General features: G+C 53.0%; 1 protein-coding gene across 10 annotated transcripts, besides 3 other annotated features; it reads left to right on the forward strand.

The window, feature by feature from the left end:
* Positions 362–831: a silencer, noted in NCBI's record as "silent region_3446". NCBI's record gives its function as "represses an Ori minimal core promoter by ATAC-STARR-seq in GM12878 lymphoblastoid cells {active_cell/tissue: GM12878}" and the evidence as "EXISTENCE:reporter gene assay evidence [ECO:0000049][PMID:35858748]".
* Positions 726–14,986, forward strand: SPINDOC (spindlin interactor and repressor of chromatin binding). Of its 10 annotated transcripts, none has more exons than XR_007062453.1 (7): positions 726–1,083; positions 5,075–5,404; positions 5,486–5,635; positions 5,797–5,922; positions 6,072–6,272; positions 9,901–10,118; positions 10,405–12,917. XR_007062453.1 is itself a non-coding variant. In XM_006718437.2 (7 exons), exons 1-7 carry the CDS (start codon positions 957–959, stop codon positions 14,328–14,330), a joined length of 1,125 nt encoding a protein of 374 aa, XP_006718500.1. In that variant the 5' UTR covers positions 726–956; the 3' UTR covers positions 14,331–14,986. The 10 variants fall into 10 exon arrangements, 9 of the variants coding, with proteins under 9 accessions (XP_006718500.1, XP_011543072.1, XP_005273839.1 ...); XM_006718437.2 differs by lacking the exon at positions 10,405–12,917 and adding an exon at positions 14,198–14,986 and having other exon boundaries at positions 10,061–10,118; XM_011544770.2 differs by lacking the exon at positions 10,405–12,917 and adding an exon at positions 14,236–14,986 and having other exon boundaries at positions 10,061–10,118.
* Positions 18,591–18,808: a silencer, noted in NCBI's record as "fragment chr11:63598793-63599010 (GRCh37/hg19 assembly coordinates)". NCBI's record gives its function as "represses an EF-1alpha promoter that drives an FKBP-Casp9 reporter gene in an ReSE screen in phorbol 12-myristate 13-acetate-treated (for megakaryocytic differentiation) K562 erythroleukemia cells {active_cell/tissue: K562(+PMA)}" and the evidence as "EXISTENCE:reporter gene assay evidence [ECO:0000049][PMID:32094911]".
* Positions 19,617–20,436: an enhancer, noted in NCBI's record as "H3K27ac-H3K4me1 hESC enhancer chr11:63599819-63600638 (GRCh37/hg19 assembly coordinates)". NCBI's record gives its function as "activates a minimal SCP1, AML or CMV promoter by ChIP-STARR-seq in primed H9 embryonic stem cells {active_cell/tissue: H9 hESC(primed)}" and the evidence as "EXISTENCE:reporter gene assay evidence [ECO:0000049][PMID:30033119]".

Raw genomic sequence — 21,659 nt, forward strand, 5'->3', positions numbered from 1 at the left:
TTATAGGGCAGCAATGTCATGGCAACTGGACTCTGGTCTTGGGGCTCTCAAGGGATTGCTGTGTGTCCTTGGAGAGGGTCACAAAATCTCCGGACTCCCGTGCCAAAAATGGAAATCATACCCATCAGGGTGGTTTATGTCCGCTCACAGTCCACTCTGCTTCTCTTCTTTGCCTTCCCAGAAGGGTCCAAAATGGTTTTTGAAAGAAACGATGAGCCGGACTAAGAAAACAGATAATGTGCCCACGGCCACGGAGCTGGCAGATGAGAAGGAATTCGGTCTCTGCGTTTCCATACCAAGGCCCTTTCCACTCACCCACCGCTTCTCTTCCTGCCCGGGGCATCTGCTGGCGGAGGAAGGCTTGTCCACGGAAAGGCAAAAGCGACTCCCGATCAAAATCCGGGGGCACCTGGTAGCGCTCTCCACGCCAGCAGAAACGCCCAACTGACTTCTTAATGGAGGGAAACCCCGGGCTTGGCCCGCAGACTGAGGGGCCCGCGTTGCGGGTTTTGGGGGCCCCTCTGCCTCTGCGCACCGGGTGGCCCCGGGTCCCCTCGGCCCTTCCCGCCGCCTCCCGGGTCCAGGGTTTCTAACGGGGCCGCGTGCCCGGGGCGGGGCCACGCGCGATTGGCCGCGCGGCATCGGGGGCGGGTCCGCGGCTGGCCGGCCGGGCGGGCGCCGACAATGAGCCTCCATAAAAGGGAGCGGCGGGGGGCAGGGGCCCCGGATTGAGCCCTCCCCGCCCGGGCTCCCGACGCGCCGAGGTCTCGGGGAGGCCCGGACGCGCCGGTCGCAGGCCCGGCCGGCGAGCGGCGGGCGGGCGGCGGGGAGGGGGCTGCGCGGGGCGGGCGGCGGGCCCGGCGCTATTCCGGCCAGGAGGCGGGAGGCGGTTGCCGGCTGCGCGCCGAAGCCTGCGCGCCAGTCCTCCGGCCACTGCTATCGCCCACGGCCGCACCATGGCCCTAAAGGCCGAGGGCGCCGCACTCGACTGCTTCGAGGTGACGCTGAAATGCGAGGAAGGGGAGGACGAGGAGGAGGCCATGGTGGTGGCCGTAATTCCGCGGCCCGAGCCGATGCTCAGAGGTGAGGATGGAGGGGATTCCACTTCCGCGTCACGGTGCGGGGCCGGGGCTGGGGCCGTCCCTCCCCAGTCGGGGTCCGGGACCCGGGCACCTTCTCACCCCCTTCAGCCTTGGGGCCCAGGTTTCCCTCTCGGATCTGGGTCCAGGGCGCGCTCTTGCACCTCCCCCACCATGGTTTAGAAGCTCAGGCCTCCTCGATTTCCCCCTCCCTTCCCCTTTCCCCCGCCCAGGGTCTGGAGACTTCGATCCACGCCCCGCACGCTCCGGATCTTCCGGTGCCCAAGCGCCCCCTCTCCCGGGCCCAGCACCAGAGGCCGGATCCCCAGAGGCGCTGGGTGGTTGCGGCCGCCGTCTCACAGCCTGGGAAGGGGAGGCAAGCACAACGGCCGGGCTGTGTTCTAGTCCGAGGGGCGGCGAAGCCTCTAGGCCGGAGGCTACAGGCGGGCGCCGCTGCCGACCTCCAGGAGAATTTTAAGGGCTCTCCGAGCATAACGCTTCCCTGCCCACCACCCCGCTTCATTCCCATTCCCGGGCCTTCCACTTGCAGGAGCCACAGGTGTCAAGTTCTGGAGAGAAGGGATGAATGGGACTGCATACAACAGCTAGTTTGGAAAAGCAGTGCAGTGCTAGAACGAGATTAGCTTTGGGAGGGGATGGGAGGAACAATCTCAGAACACTCGCTCTCCCCTCCCCCTTCACCGATTTCTAGTCCTCAGGAGCTTGCAAACCGTAAGAAAACAAAGAGCCATCTTTGTGGGAGACTTAATATGCATGAAAATGCAAATATATTTCCATTCTCCCACCCCGCTTTTCTTAGGCGGGATAGTACCCAAAAGAGGTTGAGAGCAGCAATGCCATTCATTGAACTTCAGCCGAACAGAATGATGTCTGCCTGCACTGCCTGTCATCCTTTTTGGAACTGGAAGGGTTATAAAATTCATGAGGGAAATAAAGGTCACCTCCCTTCTCGGAGCATTTAGTCCAAAAGATAGGTTGTTTTCCTACTTCTGCTAATATTTGTTGAGTGTTCATTGGGCATTGTCAGAGGCTGTCTCAGTTAATCCTCTCAACCCTGCAAGGGTGGCCTTATCCCCACTGTTAGGGCAGGAATAGACAGGTGAATTCATTCAACCAATATTCACTGGACGTCTACTTTAGGCTGTTTAGGCTAGTGTTTTTAGGCTGGGAAGTAGTAGTAAACAGAGCAACCGAAACCCTGCTCTTGAAGAACATATATATACCAATGGCTAAAGACAGAGAAATAGGTTCATGTATAGTATGTTGGGTGGCAATAAATGGTTCAGAGATCACTAAAGCAGGAAAAGGAGAAAGAGGAGGAATGGGTATTTAATTGAATATATCGAGTGGTTCAGAAAGGGTTTTCTAATAAGGTGAATTTTGAGCACAGACCCGAAGGAAGTGAGGATGCCAACCTTGCAGATATCTGCAGGAAGAGCATTTCAGGCCGAATAGCAAGTGCAAAGGTCCGGCAGCACAAGCTTCTGGAAAGATTTCGGTGGAGAGAGGAAGAAAGATTGAATTCAAGGTTTTTGGCCTGAGCAACTGGAGGAAGAGCCTTCCCATTTTCCGAGATGGGGAAGGCTGCGGTGCTCTTGGGAGACTGGGAGTGAAAGTTTGAATATGATTACGTTTGAGATGCCTATTTATGACATATTCAGGTGGAGAGGTCAACTAAGCAGTCAGATACATGGGCCTAGATTTCCTGGAAGTATCTAGCTAGTGGCGTAAACAGAAATTGCCAGCAGGCAGACAGTGGGAAGAGAAGGAAGTAGAGAAGTGTCTAAGGACTGAGTCCTGGGAAACTCCAGTGATGGCAGGTTGGAGACCGAGTCAGTCCCTCATCACACATTACTAAATGCCACTGCATGCGAGGAGATACAGATACAGATGCTGGAGATACAGATGCAAAACATCAGAAATCTGTATGGTCATGGATTTTTTTTTTTTTTTTGAGACGGAGTTTTGCTCTTTTTGCCCAAGCTGTAGTGCAATGGCACAATCTCGGCTCACTGCAACCTTCGCCTCCCGGGTTCAAGTGATTCTTCTGCCTCAACCTCCCGAGTAACTGGGATTATAGGCATGTGCCACCACGCCCAGCTAATTTTGTATTTTTAATAGAGATAGGGTTTCCCCATGTTGGTGGGGTTGGTCTTGAACTCTCAACCTCAGGTGATCCGCCCACCTCGGCCTCCCAAAGTGCTAGGATTCAGGCGTGAGCCACCGCACCTGGCCGTGGTCATGGATGCTATGGTGTGGTAAGGAGACAGGCAGTGAACATCCCAAAAACAAGTGCCAGGTGGTGATGTGTGCTGTGTTGGAGGTGATGCATAAGGGGAATGGGGTGCTCTAGTGAGGGGAGATGGTCTTCAGCAACAAGCCAGAGGAAGGGAGGGAATATTGAGAAGAGATGAGGAAGAACTAGCACACATAACTGAGAAAGAGGGCCAGGGAAGCAAAAGAAGAACCAACAGAAGGTCATGCCCTAGACGCAAGTGATGAAAATCAAGATGGAAGAGGTGATCGGCAGAGGATGAAGTTGAGAAACTGACCGCAGAGTTTAGCACTGCTGACTTGGATGAGAGCTGTTTTGGAAGACTAGTAGGGAAGAAAGCTGATTGCAACTGAGAGGTCATTTCTGCCCATGGTCGCATGAGAGATAGGTACAAGACATATCTCGTATCTCTTTCAGACACCACCTCTTGTATCCATGCAAGCCGAGGCTCCTATTTCTCATACCACCTCTTCCATGCAGCCCCCAGGTATTAGGGCCTCCTGTGTTTTAATTTTGTCCCATCCTCTCTGGAAGGTAGGAGGGAGATGCAGCCGTGAAGGATCATGGGCACTTCGTAAAAGCACTGAGCTTCCAGGCTGATGCAGGTCTAAGGCTGCCTTCTTTGCTGAACTGGAAAGGGTGATGCCCTGTGAAAGCTTATGGTCTGTCTGTGTACACAAAGAGCAGGTATCAGGCAGCAATAGGAGTGGGACCATGGCTGTAAATGCTCTGTGAGCACTGAGAAGGGAGGCGAGTTCTGAGGGGATGGGGTGGCCTTTAGAACGGGCATGGTGGCTCATGCCTATAATCCCAGCACTTTGGGAGGCTGAAGCAGGAGGATTGCTTGAGCCCGGGAGTTCACAACCAGCCTGGGCAACATAGCAAGACCCCATCTCTTAAAAATTATTTTTTTGTTTGTTAATTAGCTGGGTGTGATAGCATGCATCTATCTGTAGCCCTAGCTACTCAGGTGGCTAAGGCTGGAGGGTCCCTTGAGTCCAGGAGTTGAAGGCAGCAGTAAGCTATGATAACACCACTGTACTCCAGCCTGGGTGACAAAATGAGACCCCCATCTTTTAAAAAAAAAATTATTAGCCAGGCATGGTGGCGCTCACCTGTAGTCCCAGGTGCTTGGGAGGCTGAAGCAGGAGGATCGCTTGAACCCAGGAGGTCAAGGCTGCAATGAGCTGAGATTACGCCATTGCATTCCAGCCTGGGTGACAAAGTGAGACTCTGTCTCAAAATAAATAAATAAAATTTAAAAATTAAAAGAATTTACCTTCCTCATCCTCAAGAAAGTGTAGAAGTCAGATTTGGATGAAATCTATTGTCAGGGATTGGGGTTCTGGAAAGCTTCGCAGGGATGATGTTGCCCAGCCCAATTAGGGTGGTCTGGACAGATGTGCAAAGGCTGGAGACCTGCAAGAATGCAGCCTGTTGGGAAAGTATGTGTAGTTAGTCCTAAGGTCCAAGACTAGATCAAGAGGAAGTATAGACGCGAGAGTCGTGGGATCCCGGGCACATCGGCTGTGTTGAGTGTGGCGTGTGCCTCATGGGCTCCAGGGGAAGGAAGAAGAACACTTTGGCCAGAAATGCTCTCCTCCCCCATCCCACTCAAACCACTGAGTCTGGAGACGTGCTAAGTGTTGTTGGTTGTGGGCACCTTTAGTGATAACACCCTCCCCCTCTCCCCTCGCAGTGACCCAACAGGAGAAGACCCCACCGCCTAGACCCAGCCCGCTAGAGGCAGGCAGTGATGGCTGTGAGGAGCCGAAGCAGCAGGTGTCTTGGGAGCAGGAGTTCCTGGTGGGCAGCAGCCCAGGAGGCAGCGGGCGGGCACTGTGCATGGTGTGTGGCGCTGAGATCCGGGCACCCTCGGCCGACACAGCTCGCTCGCACATCTTGGAGCAGCACCCTCACACCTTGGACCTGAGCCCTTCTGAGAAGAGCAATATCCTGGAGGCCTGGAGTGAAGGGGTGGCCCTCTTGCAAGACGTGAGAGCTGAGCAGCCGTCCCCACCCAACTCAGGTAGTTGGTCCTGGGGCTGGCGAAGGGAGAAGTCGGACTTGTTGGGGCACTAGAAGCTCATTGTGCTCTTGCTCCCTGCAGACTCGGGCCAGGATGCCCACCCAGACCCAGACGCCAACCCAGACGCTGCCAGAATGCCAGCCGAAATCGTCGTTCTCCTTGACTCTGAGGATAACCCATCCCTCCCTAAAAGGAGCCGGCCCAGGGGACTCCGCCCCCTCGAGCTTCCTGGTTAGTCAACAGAGAAGCCAGTGAGCCCCGGTGGAGGTGGGGGTTTGGGGACAGGGTGAAATACAGGCCCTGTGTTCTGGGCAGGTATCTTCAGGAGCCCTGGGGTGGCAGGGTTCGGGGATGGCCTCTTTAAAAGGGTATGAGGTCTTTTCTTTTTGCAGCTGTCCCTGCCACAGAGCCAGGAAATAAGAAGCCCCGTGGTCAGAGATGGAAGGAACCCCCAGGGGAAGAGCCAGTCAGAAAGAAAAGAGGCAGACCTATGACCAAAAACCTGGACCCTGACCCAGGTGAAGGGGAGGCCCGGGGGAGGCGTGGGCTCTGGCCGCAGTGCTCTGAGGAAATCCGCATCAGTGAGGATGGAGCAGGGCCTGGGCGCAGGGCGCCTGCAGCTCCTGAGGCTTTTTCACTCACAGTTCCATCCCGTCCTCCCTTCCAGAGCCCCCATCGCCAGACTCGCCCACGGAGACTTTCGCAGCACCAGCCGAGGTCCGACACTTCACTGACGGCAGCTTCCCCGCCGGCTTCGTCTTGCAGCTCTTCTCCCACACCCAGCTCAGGGGCCCAGACAGCAAGGACTCACCCAAAGACAGGGAAGTGGCAGAAGGAGGCCTTCCCCGGGCGGAGAGCCCCTCTCCAGGTGAGCCCTCCTGAGAGGGAAGCACAGTAGGGACCTCGCAGGCAGCGCTCCTGGGCCAGGCCTCAGAGAGGCTGCTCTATGGCAGAGCCCACAGTAGGGGTGGGTGGGGTGGGTGGGGTGGGTGGTGCTCAGGTTTCCTGGTACACGGGGCCGGGGCAGGGGATCTGAATGATGAGGAAGGCTGGCCTGAAAGCTGAGCTTTTCTTTTTCTGTTTGTTTGTTTTTTGAGACGGAATCTTGCTCTGTTGCCCAGGCTGGCATGTAGTAGCACAAGCCCGGCTCACTACAACCTCTGCCTCCCAGGTTCAAGCAATTCTCCTGCCTCACCCTCCCTAGTAGCTGGGATTACAGGCGTGCGCCACCATACCCGGCTAATTTTTGTATTTTTAGTAGAGACAGGGTTTTCCCATGTTGGCCAGGTTGGTCTCAAACTCTTGACCTCAGGTGATCCAACTGCCTTGGCCTCGCAAAGTACACCACGCCTGGCCTATTTTTTTATTTTTTATTTTTTGAGACAAGAGTCTTGCTCTGTCGCCCAGGCTGGAGTGCAGTGGCGCGATCTCGGTTCAGTGCATCCTCTGCTTCCCAGGTTCAAGCGATTCTCCTGCCTCACCCTCCTGAGTAGCTGGGATTACAGGCGTGTGCCACCATGCCCAGCTAATTTTTGTATTTTTAGTAGAGACAGGGTTTCGCCATGTTGGCCAGGCTGGTCTCGAACTCCTGACCTCAGGTGATCCACCTGCCTCAGCCTCCCAAACTGCTAGGATTACAGGCGTGAGCCACCGCACCTGACCAGGTGGGCTTTTCTTAGTGTTTCCTTGTTTCCTGGAATTGGTCACTGGGTCCGGGTAGGCCAGTGTTTCCCAGAAGCCTGATACTGATTTCCACACATGCAGTTTGTTCTAGCTAGAGCCTGAGGGGTGCCCACCTTACCCTGGTGGAGCTGAGGCCCAGATGGGGCCACTCAGCAATTCAGTTAGGTGTCCAGAGAATAGATAAGATGAGCAGTGGACAGACACCTCCAGGGGACACCAGCTCAGTAAATTGCCTCATAACAGCAGTAAGTGCTTGTGTTGTTTGGGCTCCTACTGAGTTTAAGAAGCTTACATACAAGGCAAGTCGTGGTGGCTCACGCCTGTAATCCCAGCACTTTGGCAGGCTGAGGCGGGCAGATCACCTGAGGTCGGGAGTTTGAGACCAACCTGGCCGATATGGCGAAACCTCATCTCTACTAAAAATATAAAAATTAGCCAGGTGTGGTGGCAGGCGCCTGTAATCCCAGCTACTTGGGAGGCTGAGGCAGGAGAATTGCTTGAACCTGGGAGGTGGAAGTTGCAGTGAGCCGAGATTGCGCCACTGCACTCCAGCCTGGGCAACAGAGTGAAACTCTGTCTCCAAAAAAAAAAAAAAAAAAGAAGCTTACATACAGTTTATTTGGCCCTTACAAAAATAACTTGTATAGAAGGGCAGATGTCCATTCCTTTTTCCAAAAGGGAAAACCATTTCTCAAAGAAATGGTTCCTTCTTCCCCATGGTCCTTATGTCAGTTTCCTATTTGCTGCTGTAACAAATCACACAAATCTAATGGCTTAAAACAACACACATCGGGCCGGGCGCGGTGGCTCACGCCTGTAATCCCAGCACTTTGGGAGGCTGAGACGGGCGGATCACGAGGTCAGGAGATCGAGACCATCCTGGCTAACACGGTGAAACCCCGTCTCTACTAAAAATACAAAAATTAGCCGGGCATGGTGGCGCACGCCTGTAGTCCCAGCTACACGGGAGGCTGAGGCAGGAGAATGGCGTGAACCCGGGAGGCGGAGCTTGCAGTGAGTCGAGATCGCGCCACTGCACTCCAGCCTGGGCGACAGAGCGAAACTCCGTCTCAAAAAAAAAAAAAAAAAACAACACACATCGCTTGTGCCTGTAGTCCCAGCCACTTGGGAGGCTGAGACAGGAGGATTGTTTCAGCCCAGGAGTTCAAGGCTGCAATGAGCTATGATCACACCACTGCACTCCAGCCTGGACGACAGAACGAGACCCTCTCTAAAAACAAAACAAAACCCAAATTTATTATTTTACAGTTCTGGAGGTCAGAGGTCCAAAATGGGTCTCACTGAGCTAAAATCAAGCTGTTGGCAGGGCTGTGTTCCTTCCTGGAAGCTCTAGGGGAAAATCTATTTTCTTGACTTGCCCAGCTCCTAGAGGCTGCCTGCATTTCTTGGCTTGTGGCCTCCTTCCATCTTCAAAGCCAGCAGTGGCTAGTAGAGTCTTTCTCAGATACTGTCCTGGGTTCCGGCTCATCTGCCTCTTCCCCATTCAAGGACCCTCATGATTATATTGGGCTACTCAGTCCAGGATAATCTCTTTTTGAGTCCGCTGATGAGCAACCTTAATTTCATCTGTAACCTTCATTCCCCTTTGCCATGTAACAAAACATTCACGGGTTCCAGGGATTAGGGTGAGGGGCATCATTCTGCCAACCACACATGACCCAGCAGACAGAATTAGGATGAGACTGGAATGTAGTCCAGCAGGGCAGAGACCAAGCCTAGTCCTCTGTTCACCTCTCCATGCCAAGCATAGTTTACAGGCGCTCAGGAAATGCTTCTTGAAGAAGTGAATAGGTAGGAGTGCACGTCTCCTTGTACCAACTTGTCTGAAATGTGTGTTTGAAACTAGAGCCATAGAATGATGGCCAACGAGGTGGCTGGAGGCTCTCCTGAGAGTAGGGCTCTCAAAAAGCAGGTGTGCTTTTGTTTTTGTTTTTTGAGACAGAGTCCCTGCCCAGGCTGGAGTACCATGGCGCCATCATAGCTCACTGCAACCTCAAACTCCCAGGCTCAAGCAGTCCTCCTGCCACAGCCTCCTGAGTAGCTGGGACCACAGGTGTGCATCTCCACACCAGGCTAATTCTTAAATTTTTTGTAGAGACAGGTTTTCACTGTGTTGCCCAAGCTAGTCTCCAACTCCTGGGTGCAAGCAGTCCTCCCACCTGGGCCTCCCAAAGTTCTGGGATGACAGGTGTGCTTTTTTGCATAAAGAAAAAAGCCTTGGCTAGGCACAGTGGCTCACAGACCTGTCATTCCCAGCACTTTAGGATGCCAAAGTGGGAAGATTGCCTGAGGCTAGGTGTTCGAGACCAACCTGAGCAACATAAGGAGACTCCATCTCTAGAAAAATTTTTTAAATTAACTGGGCATGTTGGTGTGCACCTCTAGTCCCTACTAAGACTAGAGGCTAAGGCAAGAGGATCACTTGAGCCCAAGAATTTGAGGTTGCAGTAAATTCTGATTGTACTCCAATCAGATTGTACTACTGTACTCCAGCCTGGGCAACTGAGCTAGACTGTCTAAAAAAAAAAAAAAAAAAAAAAAAGAAACAAAGAAAAAAGGCAGCGTATTATGTACTCCTTTAGTCACACTCCACTCACCCCTCACAAAGTTTTTCTTTGTGTTCACTGCTATACCACTCTTAATTTGGTTTGTATCCTTCAGAGAGAGCTCTCTGTGTGTTTGCGTGTGTGTGTAGTTGCTTTTGTTTATTTGCCTAAATTTGAGCCCCCCGTTTTCTGATCTCGAGGCAGGCCTCACCCCTTCACGTAGATCACAGTTTTAACTGTCTCAAGTTTCAGCTTGAGTCACATTCCAGTCCTGGCTCCCTGAGACCGAGTGTGCTGCTTGGACTTGAGCGTGTCCCGAGTCTCCTGGTCCTCTCCGGTGGATCCCTGCTCTAAATGGCTGACCTCTTCCACTGTCTAATGGGTCTTCTGATTTCATTCTCGAAAGGGAGCCCTCATTTCAAGTCCTGGGGTACCCTGTGCGCAAACTCCATCTATCTGGAGTGGTGAGTAGATGAGAAGAGAATCCCTGAGATTCTAGGTTTCTTTGGGGTGAGTGGGCAAAGTCTGAGAGGAAGGGGCTTCAGCAGGCTGCTTGAGTGATCTGAGGGGGCGGAGGCAATTGTAGGGTGTTGTCAGCAGTGGCAGCCTTCGTGGAGGTTGGAGATGCCTGGGAAACCATAGAGGATACCTCACTGGTACACAAGTGTTCCTGGAGCCTGTGCCCGAGGGAGGCACCCTGGGAGATGGCATGAGTGAGACAGCCTTTGTCCCCCAAAATTCTGTGTCCAGGTATATAGGCTGGAGGCAGTAAATCTTTAAAAACCAGGGGCCCCCGTGGCGGTTCTTTGCGGAGCAGAGGCTCTGGACCTGTGGTTTCAGACGATCTCACGAACCCAAAGCTTGGACAGATTTCTCAGAAACCTGTGAGGCTTCGACCAAAATGTCTCTACTTTCTGTGTTGTTATGTACGTATTGAAGTTCTCTGAAGACTTTATTTAAATAAAGATCCTGCCACTTTAAAAAAAATTAGAGGTGTAAAAATCGTGGATTTAACAGTTGGAAAAGGCCACCTGTGGTCAGGTTAGCTGAGCTGATGAATGTGAATGTGAGGTAGTCCAGGAAGACTCTAGAACCTTCTGAGGACCTTGCCAGAGGAGGATGGGGAGAGTGTGCAGGCCAGGAGAGGAGGTGGGCCACAATGACCCACTGACAAGTAATGGAAAGAGGAGCCTCTCTGTCTTGCTGGTGTTTTTCTTTTTTTTATTTTGGAGATGGAGTCTCGCTCTGTCGCCCAGGCTGGAGTGCAGTGGCGTGATCTTGGCTCACTGCAAGCTCCGCCTCCTCCCAGGTTCACACCATTCTTCTGCCTCAGCCTCCCAAGGAGCTGGGACTACAGGCGCCCACCACCACACCTGGCTAATTTTTTGTATTTTTAGTAGAGACGGGGTTTCACTGTGTTAGCCAGGATGGTCTCGATCTCCTGACCTCGTGATCTGCCCGCCTCAACCTCCCAAAATGCTGGGATTACAGGCGTGAGCCACTGCACCTGGCCTGTTTTTCTTTTTCTTTTTTTTTTTTGGAGATGGAGTTTTGCTCTTGTCGCCCAGGCTGGAGTGCAGTGGTGCAATCTTGGCTCACTGCAACCTCCGCCTCCCAAGTTCAAGCGATTCTCCTTCCTCAGCCTCCTGAGTAGCTGGGATTACAGGCGTGCGCCACCACGCCTGGCTAATTTTTTTGTATTATTAGTAGAGATGGCGTCTCACCCTATTGGCCAGGCTAGTCTCAAACTCCTGACCTCGGGTGATCCGCCCACCTCGGCCTCCCAAAGTGCTGGGATTACAGGCATGAGCCACTGCACCTGGCCGGTCCTTCTCTTTATGATCTCGTGGTTACGGTGGGCTGATCACTCACTCCTTCCTGGAGACAACTTTCTTCCCTTGGCTTTTCAGGCAGCTGCTCGCCTGGTGTTCCTCTTCCCTCACTAACTGTTCCTTCTCAGTTTCTCTTGCCGCTCACTCTCAGCTCCCAGAGTTGGAACACGTCGTATCATTGTCTGCCTTTCCCTTTCTAGAATGTAAGGGCCTGCAGGTTAGGGTGTTTGCGTCCTGCACTATAATATCTGCGGTAACCAGAACAGTGCCTGGCACAGCGTAGGCCCGGCTTATGTGTTTGGTGAATGAGTACGTGCTTAAGTATCCGCAGCCGTGGGTCAGTGTCGGTACTCGCTCCCTGGGAGATCTCATCCAGGTTCACAGCTTTCAATGACATGTGTGTGCTCATAATGCCCACCTTGGCTGCTCCTTCCTGGTTCCATCCTCTTTTCCAGTTGCCCAGGTGGCGTCTCTACATGGGTGTCTAAAAGATCTCAAACATTGTGCCACCGCACTCCAGCCTGGCGACAGAGCGAGACTCCATCTCAAAAAAAAAAAAAAATCTCAAACTCGCCACATTGAAACTGAACCCCCAGTCTCACCAATGCACCCTACCCCTAGACTCCACAATCTTCCCTTTCCCAGTGAACAGGCAGCCCCAGGCTTCAGTTTGCTGTGACCACACCCACACAGTCATCCTCTTCTTTCTCCAGCCCAGCATCTGTCCAGCAGCCGATCCTCCAAAACAAGTTCAGAGCTCACACTGCTGTCACCACATCCACTGCTGCTACCCTAGTCAGGGCCGGCTCTCGCCTGGTTCCTGTAACAAACCTAAGCCAGGTCTCCTGGCTGCTGAGCTTTGCCCGCTATGCTCTGCTCTCCTGTAGCAGCCAGAGTGTCCCTGCTGAGAACACAAGTCAGATCCAGTCACTCCTCTACTCATGGCCTTTCTGTGCTGCTCCTGTTGCACTCCAGATAAAAGCCAGAGCCTTCATGGTGACTAGTGAGCTCCCCACAGGCTCCTGACCTCTCCCCCCACATCCCGCTCCCCGCACAGGCACTGGCCTTGCTGTTCCTGGGGAAGCCAGCGTGCTCCACCAGGGCATCCACATTTGCTCCTCCCTCTGCTCAAAATGCTGTTCCCTCCCTGTCTGCCTCACTGGCTCCTCACTCCCTCTGTGTCTGTGGTCCCCTGTCAGCTTTCTGCTATCCTATTATCCTATCTCCTTTCCCTGGTGTACTTTGCTACTTTGCATCTGTCCATATATAACATACTGCATTTTTTATTTGTTTATCCTATTTATTAGCTCTGATAAATAGAATGTGAAGTCCCAGAAGGCCACTTAGGGAGCTCCATTCACCGCTGTACCCCTAGCAATCCAAACGGCATTGGGCATATAGTACTCAATAAATTATTGTCAAATTAATGAACAAATGGGGTTCAGTGTTCCTTCAGGGAGCCTATAGTTTATCAGGGAGACAAACTGTGTTCTGGGAACACAGAATAGCATTTGGTAGGTGATAAAAATGGGGTGGCAGCCACTAAGTCATTTTAAATTCCAGCACATCGCACAGCAAAATTGTACCTGTTTTCTGTGCCACATTTTAAATAATCGTGTCTCTAAAAACAGGGTAGAAAAGGAACACACACAAATAAATCCTTCCCAATATAGACAGTGCAGTAGTTGAAATCACCATCTTCTGTTTTTGCCTTTCAATGTAATGTAACTTTTTTTTTTTTTGAGACAGTCTCACTCTATTGCCCAGGCTGGAGTGCAGTGGCGTGATCTTGGCTCACTGCAACCTCCACCTCCCAGGTTCACGCGACTCTCCCGCCTCAGCCTCCTGAGTAGCTGGGATTAGAGGGGTGCACCACTATGCCTGCCTAATTTCTTTGTATTTTAGTAAAGGGGTTCTCCATGTTAGCCAGGCTGGTCTCAAACTCCTGACCTCAAGTGATCTGCTCACCCTGGCCTCCCAAAGTGCTGGGATTACAGGCATGAGCCATCATGCCCAGCCCTAATGTAACGTAACCTTTGCACACGTCCCTGTTGCGTGCTCGTTTTTTATGGCTGCACGCAGCCACGGCAGTCCTCAGTCCTCTTTCCTCTGCCTCGAGGCCCAGCTTTGCCCATTATGAGTGCCTTCTCCATACTGGTAAGGTGGACACCTGGTCTTGGTGATGTAGGTGTTGACACTCAGGAGATAAAGAGCCTGGTGGAAGTTCGCCAGGGGTCTTTTCTGTCCCCCACGTAGTCCCTCATGAGCTCCTTGGTGGGCACAGCTATGCCTTAGACTGCTTCTGGGTGTTCCCACCCCATCACCTCTGCCCCACTCAGGCAGAACCCGTTAGGCTAGGATGCCCAGTAAGTTTGAGATAAAATGGAGTTGGCTGCAGGTAGGAGTTACAGGAAGAGGCACGAGCACCAGGCGTCCCTGTGCCAAAATACACACAGGAGGAAGGCTGCCTGGCTTCAGCTGGCTTGTCCCTAGGGAGGCTGTGCGCCTCATTTTCTAGCTGGCAGCAGTCCTCGATCACCCAGGAGTGGAGCTCCCTGCCATCCTTGGGCTTCCCCTCATGCCAGGCACTGGGCTGTGGACATAATGAAAGCCCTGGAAATGTGGGTACAGTTTGCGGAGCTTCCAGGGGGCATCCTCGTGGTGGGGTGTCTGGGGGGCTCTGACTGCTCTCTGCTCTCATCCCTGCCCAGCTCCCCCTCCGGGGCTCCGCGGGACACTGGATCTCCAGGTTATCCGCGTGCGGATGGAGGAGCCCCCAGCGGTCAGCCTCCTGCAAGACTGGTCCAGGCACCCCCAGGGCACCAAGCGTGTGGGAGCAGGTGACACCTCAGACTGGCCCACAGTTCTGTCAGAATCCAGCACCACTGTGGCAGGGAAGCCGGAAAAAGGGAATGGAGTGTAAATTCTTGCTTTCCTGGGGAGGGAGGGAGGGATGAGGCAGCGTCCCCCAGTGGCTTATAACTCAGAGCTGCCTGGCTCACCCACCTGGTGGAGAGAGTAGAAACAGGTGCCAGGGCAGGAGGGGGCTGGGGCAGCATCCACTGTTATTTCGGGGCACTGGAAAGTGTCTGTTCCTGGCCAGGCCTGAGGTCGGCGAGGGTGGCTGAGGCTGTTGTGCAGTAGGGCACTGGGCCTGTGGAGAACACCTACCCCAGTCCTTCGCTGACCCCCACCTCTGTTTGTCCCCCATGACCTCCTCCCACCCTCCCCCTGCTCCCCACCATTCTCCCTTGGCACAGTGCCTTACACAAGAGTGGTCATAAGGGGGTTTGAACTGAGTCCCACTACCTCGGGGGACACCTCTCCTCCCCACTTGTTCAGGCTTCTAAACCAGGAGGCCTCCATTACCTCTTCCTGTCCCACCCCTGCAGAGGCCTGAAGCTGGGCCTGGGCACCCCATTCACTCCCGTTCTCATTTACATCTGTTTTCCTGTTGTATATATCACCTTTGTTGACAATAAATTATTTTTTTTTATTAAGAGTTCCGTCTGGGCCATCATTGGGGGAGAGGGTTTGCTAGCAGGATACCTGGCCACCTAGAGCAACCCTGAGGGGCAGGAGGGTTGGAAGATGGTCCTGGGGGGAGCCAGGGAGCCACCTCTCCTGAAGGTGGGACAGCACCAGGGCAGGCCTCTGTGGAGCCCAGGAACGAGGGCTGACTTGTGCTATCAGTCACCTGTGGGCGTCTCACCCCCTCCCTTCCTCTCTGCTCTGGAAAGGGGGTCAGAAACAATTTTCTTTAACATTGTACCTTCTGGCTCACCTGGTAGGCCTCTGCCCAAAAGAGGTCACTGTAGAAGCCCAGGGGTGCTCACAACCAGGGAGCTGGGAATTAGCCTGAGCTTGCTTGCTTGCTTGCTTGCTTTTTCTTTTCTTCTTTTTTTTTTTTTTTTTTTTTTTTTGAGACAGAGTTTCATTCTTGCTGCCCAGGCTGGAGTGCAGTGGCGCGATCTCGGCTCACTGCAACCTCCACCTCCTGGGTTCAAGTGATTCTCCTGCCTCAGCCTCCCTAGTAGCTGGGATTACAGGCACCCACCACCATGCCCATGCCCAGCTAATTTTTTGTATTTTTAGTAGAGACAGAGTTTCACTATGATGGTCAGGCTGGCCTCGAACTCCTGACCTCGGGCGACCCACCTGCCTCAGCCTCCCAAAGTGCTGGGATTACAGGCGTGAGCCACCACGCCCGGCTTATCCTGAGCTTTCTAAAGTGAAATGGCGGTAACCAGCTTGCAGGTAGAAAGATGCCTCTCCTCCCTTTCCGTATGATGGTGAGGGGCACAGGGGTCCTAAACTCAGCCCCGCCTTTTCCAGCCCTACAGGCCTGCACCCTCAGCTGTCCACCTTCATCCCCCCCAACCCTTGGCTTAATTAAACCCAAACACTTGCTGGTTTCCCCTATTCCCTGGATCATGAGGAGGCCACTTTTGGTCTCTTCACCGGATTCCTTACCTTCCTAAACTAAACCAACAGGGGCCAGATCTGTGCGTGGTTTTCCCTTTGGTGAGATGGAGCACACAGGCAGCCCCTTCTCAAACCCCAGCTGTACTGTCCTGTTTAGAGCCCATGGCAGGTGTGGTAAGCAGGACTGTATACCTCTGCACATGCTGACAAATGTGCACATAGGAGAAGTGGGGGCACAGGTGGGACTTGGAGGGCAGCTATTCCTGTAGGACGCTGACATTGGCACATTTTTTTTTTTTTTTTTGAGTTGGAGTCTTGCTCTGTCACCCAGGCTGCGATCTTGGCTCACTGCAACCTCTGCTTCCCAGGTTCAAGCGATTCTCCTGCCTCAGCCTCCCGAGTAGCTGGGATTACAGGCGTGCACCACCATGCCTGGCTAATTTTTGTATTTTTTGGTAGAGATGGGGTTTTCGTCATGTTGGCCAGGCTGGTCTCAAACTCCTGACCTCAGGTGATCCACCCACCTCGACCTCGCAAAGTGCTGGGATTACAGGCGTGAGCCACTGTGCCCGGCCAACACTGCCAGATTTTGAGACTAACCAGGAAGTTCATCTCGGGCAGGCAGGGTCTGGGCCTGGGCAGCGTGTGCTGTGTGCTCACCTGATGGGGTGTCACCATGTGCCAAGCCAGGTATGAGGGATCTCACGACTTGGTGGGCTCCTGGGACATGATCCCTTCTCCCCATCTGATAAGCTCAGGAGGAGCCTAGAAATATACAGGGTCTTTGTCTAGGGGACATTAAAAGACAGGTGTGGTGGACAGAAGGCAGTGGCCAAGGCTTCAGGATGCCTTGTATCTAGTGTGGCTCCCCCACTGCATGATGGCAGGCAGGCAGGCCGGCCACGGAACTCCCATGTCTCAAACACCATTATCCACAGATTGGCAAAACTTGTATCCTACCTGATAGGAGGGAATAAATAATGCTAAAAATCTGGTTCTGCAAGCACAAATACTGCAAATGGTTTTCTCTCATCCTTTCAATCCTGTGACTTGTGTTTACATTTATGCCAATGTGCTTTTAAAACAACATGGCTGTGTTGCTGGGTGTTTACACTTGAGAAAACGTATGTAAAAGTTTGTTGTAAAATTGTGAAGCCAAATGCCCCTTTGCTGTTCTATGATTAATGGCTTGGCCTTCTAGACTGTGAGCTCCTGGGCAGGGACCAGGTTGTATTGACTTTGTTTTCCAAGTGTCCTGCCTGGGGCCTGGCACATAGTAGGTGCTCAATAAATGTTTCTCGAGTGCCCTCTGAGTGTGTATTCCTGTGTGACATTTTTCTAGTGCATGTTGGTCCCTGGAGTGTGGTTCTCAGCACAGGGTGGTTGCTACAGTGACTGTGCAGGGTGGGAACTTCATCCCCACATTGTGGCCAATAGGGGTCTCCCCAGCCTCAGCCAGGGCCCTGGGGACTATGTGAGTGTGTGTGGCCAGCAGCTGTGTGTGGCACCTCTGGGCTTCCAGGAAAGAGTTGGAGAAAGTGGGGCTGAGGATATGACTCCAGCCCAGGCTGGAAGGACCTTACTGACGGATTGCCCAGGGCTTTCCTACTCCACACCGGCTTGGAGTCCGTGACGCTGGTCCTGCATCCTGGTGCAACACCAGGGAAGCTCTGCACGAATGTCGGTGACTCTCAGGGCTGGTGGTGGCACCTTCATCCATGTGGTGCTGTGGCCCAACCATGTGTTTGGTTGAAGAAGTTGGGGAAGAGGGTGCCGCTGCCCCTGACTGCTGAGCCACACACCCATTTCCTGACTTCCCAGACCTCCTTGGCTCTCTGAAGCCAGCCACCTCCTGCCCTCCCAGCTGCCTTCCATGGGATCCAGGTGTGGGAGATCTTTTTGGATACCTAACAAGGAAAAACTTTCTACATTCCCAGTACTTCTGACACCAATGTTAGTGGGGAGGGGGGCGCCCACATCAATTCTCCGACTCTCCAGACACCAGCCAGCTGTTCTAAAATTCAGTTCTGACACTCACTACCCAGAGTTAGCACGGTCCCTGCAGGTGAAGGGCTCAGTCCCAGCAGACTGCCCCTGCTTCAGATACCAGTTCTAGGTCCCAGCTTGTCACCTGTACTTCTGACCAGCCCAAATTTGGAAGTTCCCACAACCCCCTCCTCAGTTTTGATAATTTGCTGTAATGGCTCACAAAAATCACAGAAACAGGCCGGGCGCGGTGACTTACGCCTGTAATCCCAGCACTGTGGGAGGCCGAGGCGGGTGGATCAACTGAGATCAGGAGTTCGAGACCAGCCTGGCCAACATGGCAAAACCCCGTCTCTACTGAAAATACAACAATTAGCTGGGCGTGGTTGCGGGTACCTGTAATCCCAGCTACTCTAGAAGCTGAGGCAGGAGAATCACTTCAAGTCAGGAGGTGGAAGTTGCAGTGAGCAGAGATCACGCCATTGCCCTCCAACCTGGGTGACAGAATGAGACCCTGTCAAAAAAAAAAAAAAATTAGGGAAACATTTACTTACATTTACTTGTTTATAAAGGATGTTACATAGGATATAAACAAACAGGTGATGAGGTACTGAGGGCGAGGTTCAGAAGGGTTCCAAGCACAGGAGCTTCTGTCCTAGTGGAGTTGGAGTGAGCCACCCTCCTGGCATGTGGATGGGGTGCTGTCCCTGACCTGGAACCTCCCAAACCCCATTATTTAGGGTTTTTATAGAGGCTTCATTAGGCACGATTGATTAAATCATTGGCCACTGGTGATTGGCTCAATCTCCAGCCCCTCTTCCCTCCCCAAGGTCTTGGGTAGGGATGAAAGTTGCAATCCCCTAATCACGTGGTTGGTTTCTCTGGCCACCAGCCCCATCCTCCAAGAGTCATCTCATTAGCGTGAACTCAGGTGTGGTGAAAAGAGACTCATTATGAATAACAAAAGATGCTCCTCTCTCCCCATCACTCAGGAAATTCCAAGAGTTTTAGTTCTGGACCAGAAACCCGGATGAAGACCAGATATATATGTCTCTTTTTTTTCTTTTTGAGTCGTAATCTTGCTCTGTCGCCCACGCTGGAGTGCAATGGCATGATCTTTGGCTCACTGCAAGCTCCACCTCCTGGGTTCCAGTGATTCTCCTGCTTCAGCTTCCTGAGTAGCTGGGATTACAGGCACCTACCACCACGCCCAGCTAATTTTTGTATTTTTAGTAGAGACGGGGGTGGGGGGGTTTCACCATATTGGCCAGGCTGTTCTCTTGGCCAGACTGGTCTCGAACTCCTGACCTCGTGATAACTCCTGCCTCGGCCTCCCATAGTTCTGGGATTACAGGCGTGAGCCACCTGCGCCCAGGTGTCTTTTTTTTTTTTTTTTTTTTTTTTTTTTTTTTGAGACAGGGTCTCGCTCTTGAGGCCCAGGCTGGATTGCAGTGGCACAATCTCGGCTCACTGCAACCTCCACCTCCAGGGTTCAAGCAATTCTCCCGCCTCAGCCTCCCAAGTAGCTGGGATTACAGGTGCTTGCCACCACCATGCCCAGCTAATTTTTTGTATTTTTAGTAGAGATGGGGTTTCACTGTGTTGCCAAGGCTGGTCTTGAATTCCTGACCTCAGGTGATCCACCCGCCTCGGCCTCCCAAAGTGCTGGGATTACAAGTGTGAGCCACCAAGCCTGGCCGATATATATGTCTTTTTATATCACAATGCTGGTAATCCTCTCTTTCTTGGGGACAAAGCCAGTCTGAGACAAGGGAACAGTCACCCCTGCCCTCCTTGAAGAGAAACTGGAGCATGTGGGAGTGTGAATGGGAATGGGGGACACTGGCTGGGCCCCTGCCGCACCCCAGTGGTGGCACTGGTCTGGTCCAGGCCTTGAGGCTTTCTAGCAGATGCTCCTGCAATCTGAGCTTCCTGTTTCTCTGCAGAAAATGCGGCAGTCACCCCCACCTCCACCCCACACACAGCTGGGCTGCTGTGTGGCTCAAATGAGACTCTGCATTTGGGGCCCTTTGTAAACTGTAAAATCCTGCACACCCCTAAGGTGTGGTAGAAGATGGGGGCTGGGATGGGAGAGGGTCTCTAATGGGCTTGCAGACCCTCTCTGCCATCGGAGTCTCTTGGGAGGGGGGCACCCTACTGAGGCTGCTTGCAGGTGCAGGGACAGGGAAGGGACTGCAACACCTCCTGGGGTGTCTGCCTTCCTACCTCCCTGGAGCCAGGTGCCTCAGCCCAGAGCCATCATGCCACCAAATTTGCTCAGTCCCTTTCTCCCCTAGAGAGAACACCCTCATTCTCAGGACAAATGTACCAGCGTCCAGGAAGGAAGAGGAGCCAGCCTTTGGGTTCCCAACACCAATGTCAATGGCTTGGATCTCCTCCAGCCCCACATCTGGTGGGGGTGGGCAGAGGAAGCAGGAAAAGCAGGTGTGTGATGGGAGATGGGGTAACCACCCTGTGTTGCTTAGATCACACAAGCATCAGTGAAGGACCCCATGGGCAGGCACTGTTAGAAACTATGGGGTACAGACAGGACACCTACCCTGGCTTCATCACAGATCACCTCATATTGTGCCCATTATACAGGTGAGGAAACTGAGGTACAGTGAGATGAATGCAGTGACTTGCCTGCCATTCCAGAGCTAGTAAAGGAACAGCTCTGGCCAGGCATGGTGGCTCACGCCTGTAATCCCAGCATCTTGGGAGGCCAAGGGGAGGCGGATCACCTGAGGTCAGGAGTTCAAGACCAGCCTGGCCAACATGGTGAAACCCCATCTCTACTAAAAATACAAAACTTAGCTGGGCATGGTGGCAGGCGCCTGTAATGCCAGCTTGGGAGGCTGAGGCAGGAGAATCACCTGAACCCAAGAGGCAGAGGTTGCAGTGAGTGGAGATGGTGCCACTGCACTCCAGCCTGGGCGAAAGAGCAAGACTCCATCTAAAAAGAAAAGAAAAGGAAAAAGAAAATAAGAAAAAAGAAACAAAAGGGAAAAGGGGGTCTTACTCTGTTGCCCAGGCTAGAGTGCAGTAGTGCAATCATAGCTCACTGCAACCTCAACCTCCTGGGTTCAAGTGATCCTCCCACCTCAGCCTCCCAAGTAGCTGGGACTACAGTTGTGCCACCATGCCTAGCTAACAGGGGTCTCCCTATGTTGCCCAGGCTGGTCTCAAACTCCTGGACTCAAGGGATGCCCCCCACCAAATTTGGCCTCCCAAAGTGCTGGGATTACAGGCGTGAGCCATCACACCTGGCTTTTATTTTATTTATTTATTAATATTTAGAGACAGGGTCTCACTCTGTTGCCCAGGCTGGAGTGCAGTGGTGTGATCATAGCTCACTGCAGCCTCGACCTCCCAGGCTCAGGTATAATCCTCCTACCTCAGCCTCCTGAGTACCTGGGACTACTGGCAAATTTTTTGTATTTTTTGTAGAGACGGGGGTTTGCCATGTTGCCCAGACTGCTCTCGAACTCTTTAGCTCAAGCAATTCATTCACCCACCTCAGCCTCTCAAAGTGCAGAGATTATAGGCATGAGTCACCATGCCGGGTCAGGCCTTAATTTTTTTAAGAAAAGGGCTAGGTGCCATGGCTCACGCCTGTAATCCCAGCACTTTGGGAGGCCGAGGTGGGCAGATCATGAGGTCAGGAGTTTGAGACCAGCCTGGCCAATATGATTAAACCCCGTCTCTACTAAAAATACAAAAATTGGCCAGGCGTGGTGGCGCACGCCTGTGGTCCCAGCT

Source organism: Homo sapiens, chromosome 11 (assembly GCF_000001405.40).
Source record: "Homo sapiens chromosome 11, GRCh38.p14 Primary Assembly".
Classification (NCBI taxonomy): Eukaryota; Metazoa; Chordata; class Mammalia; order Primates; family Hominidae; genus Homo; species Homo sapiens.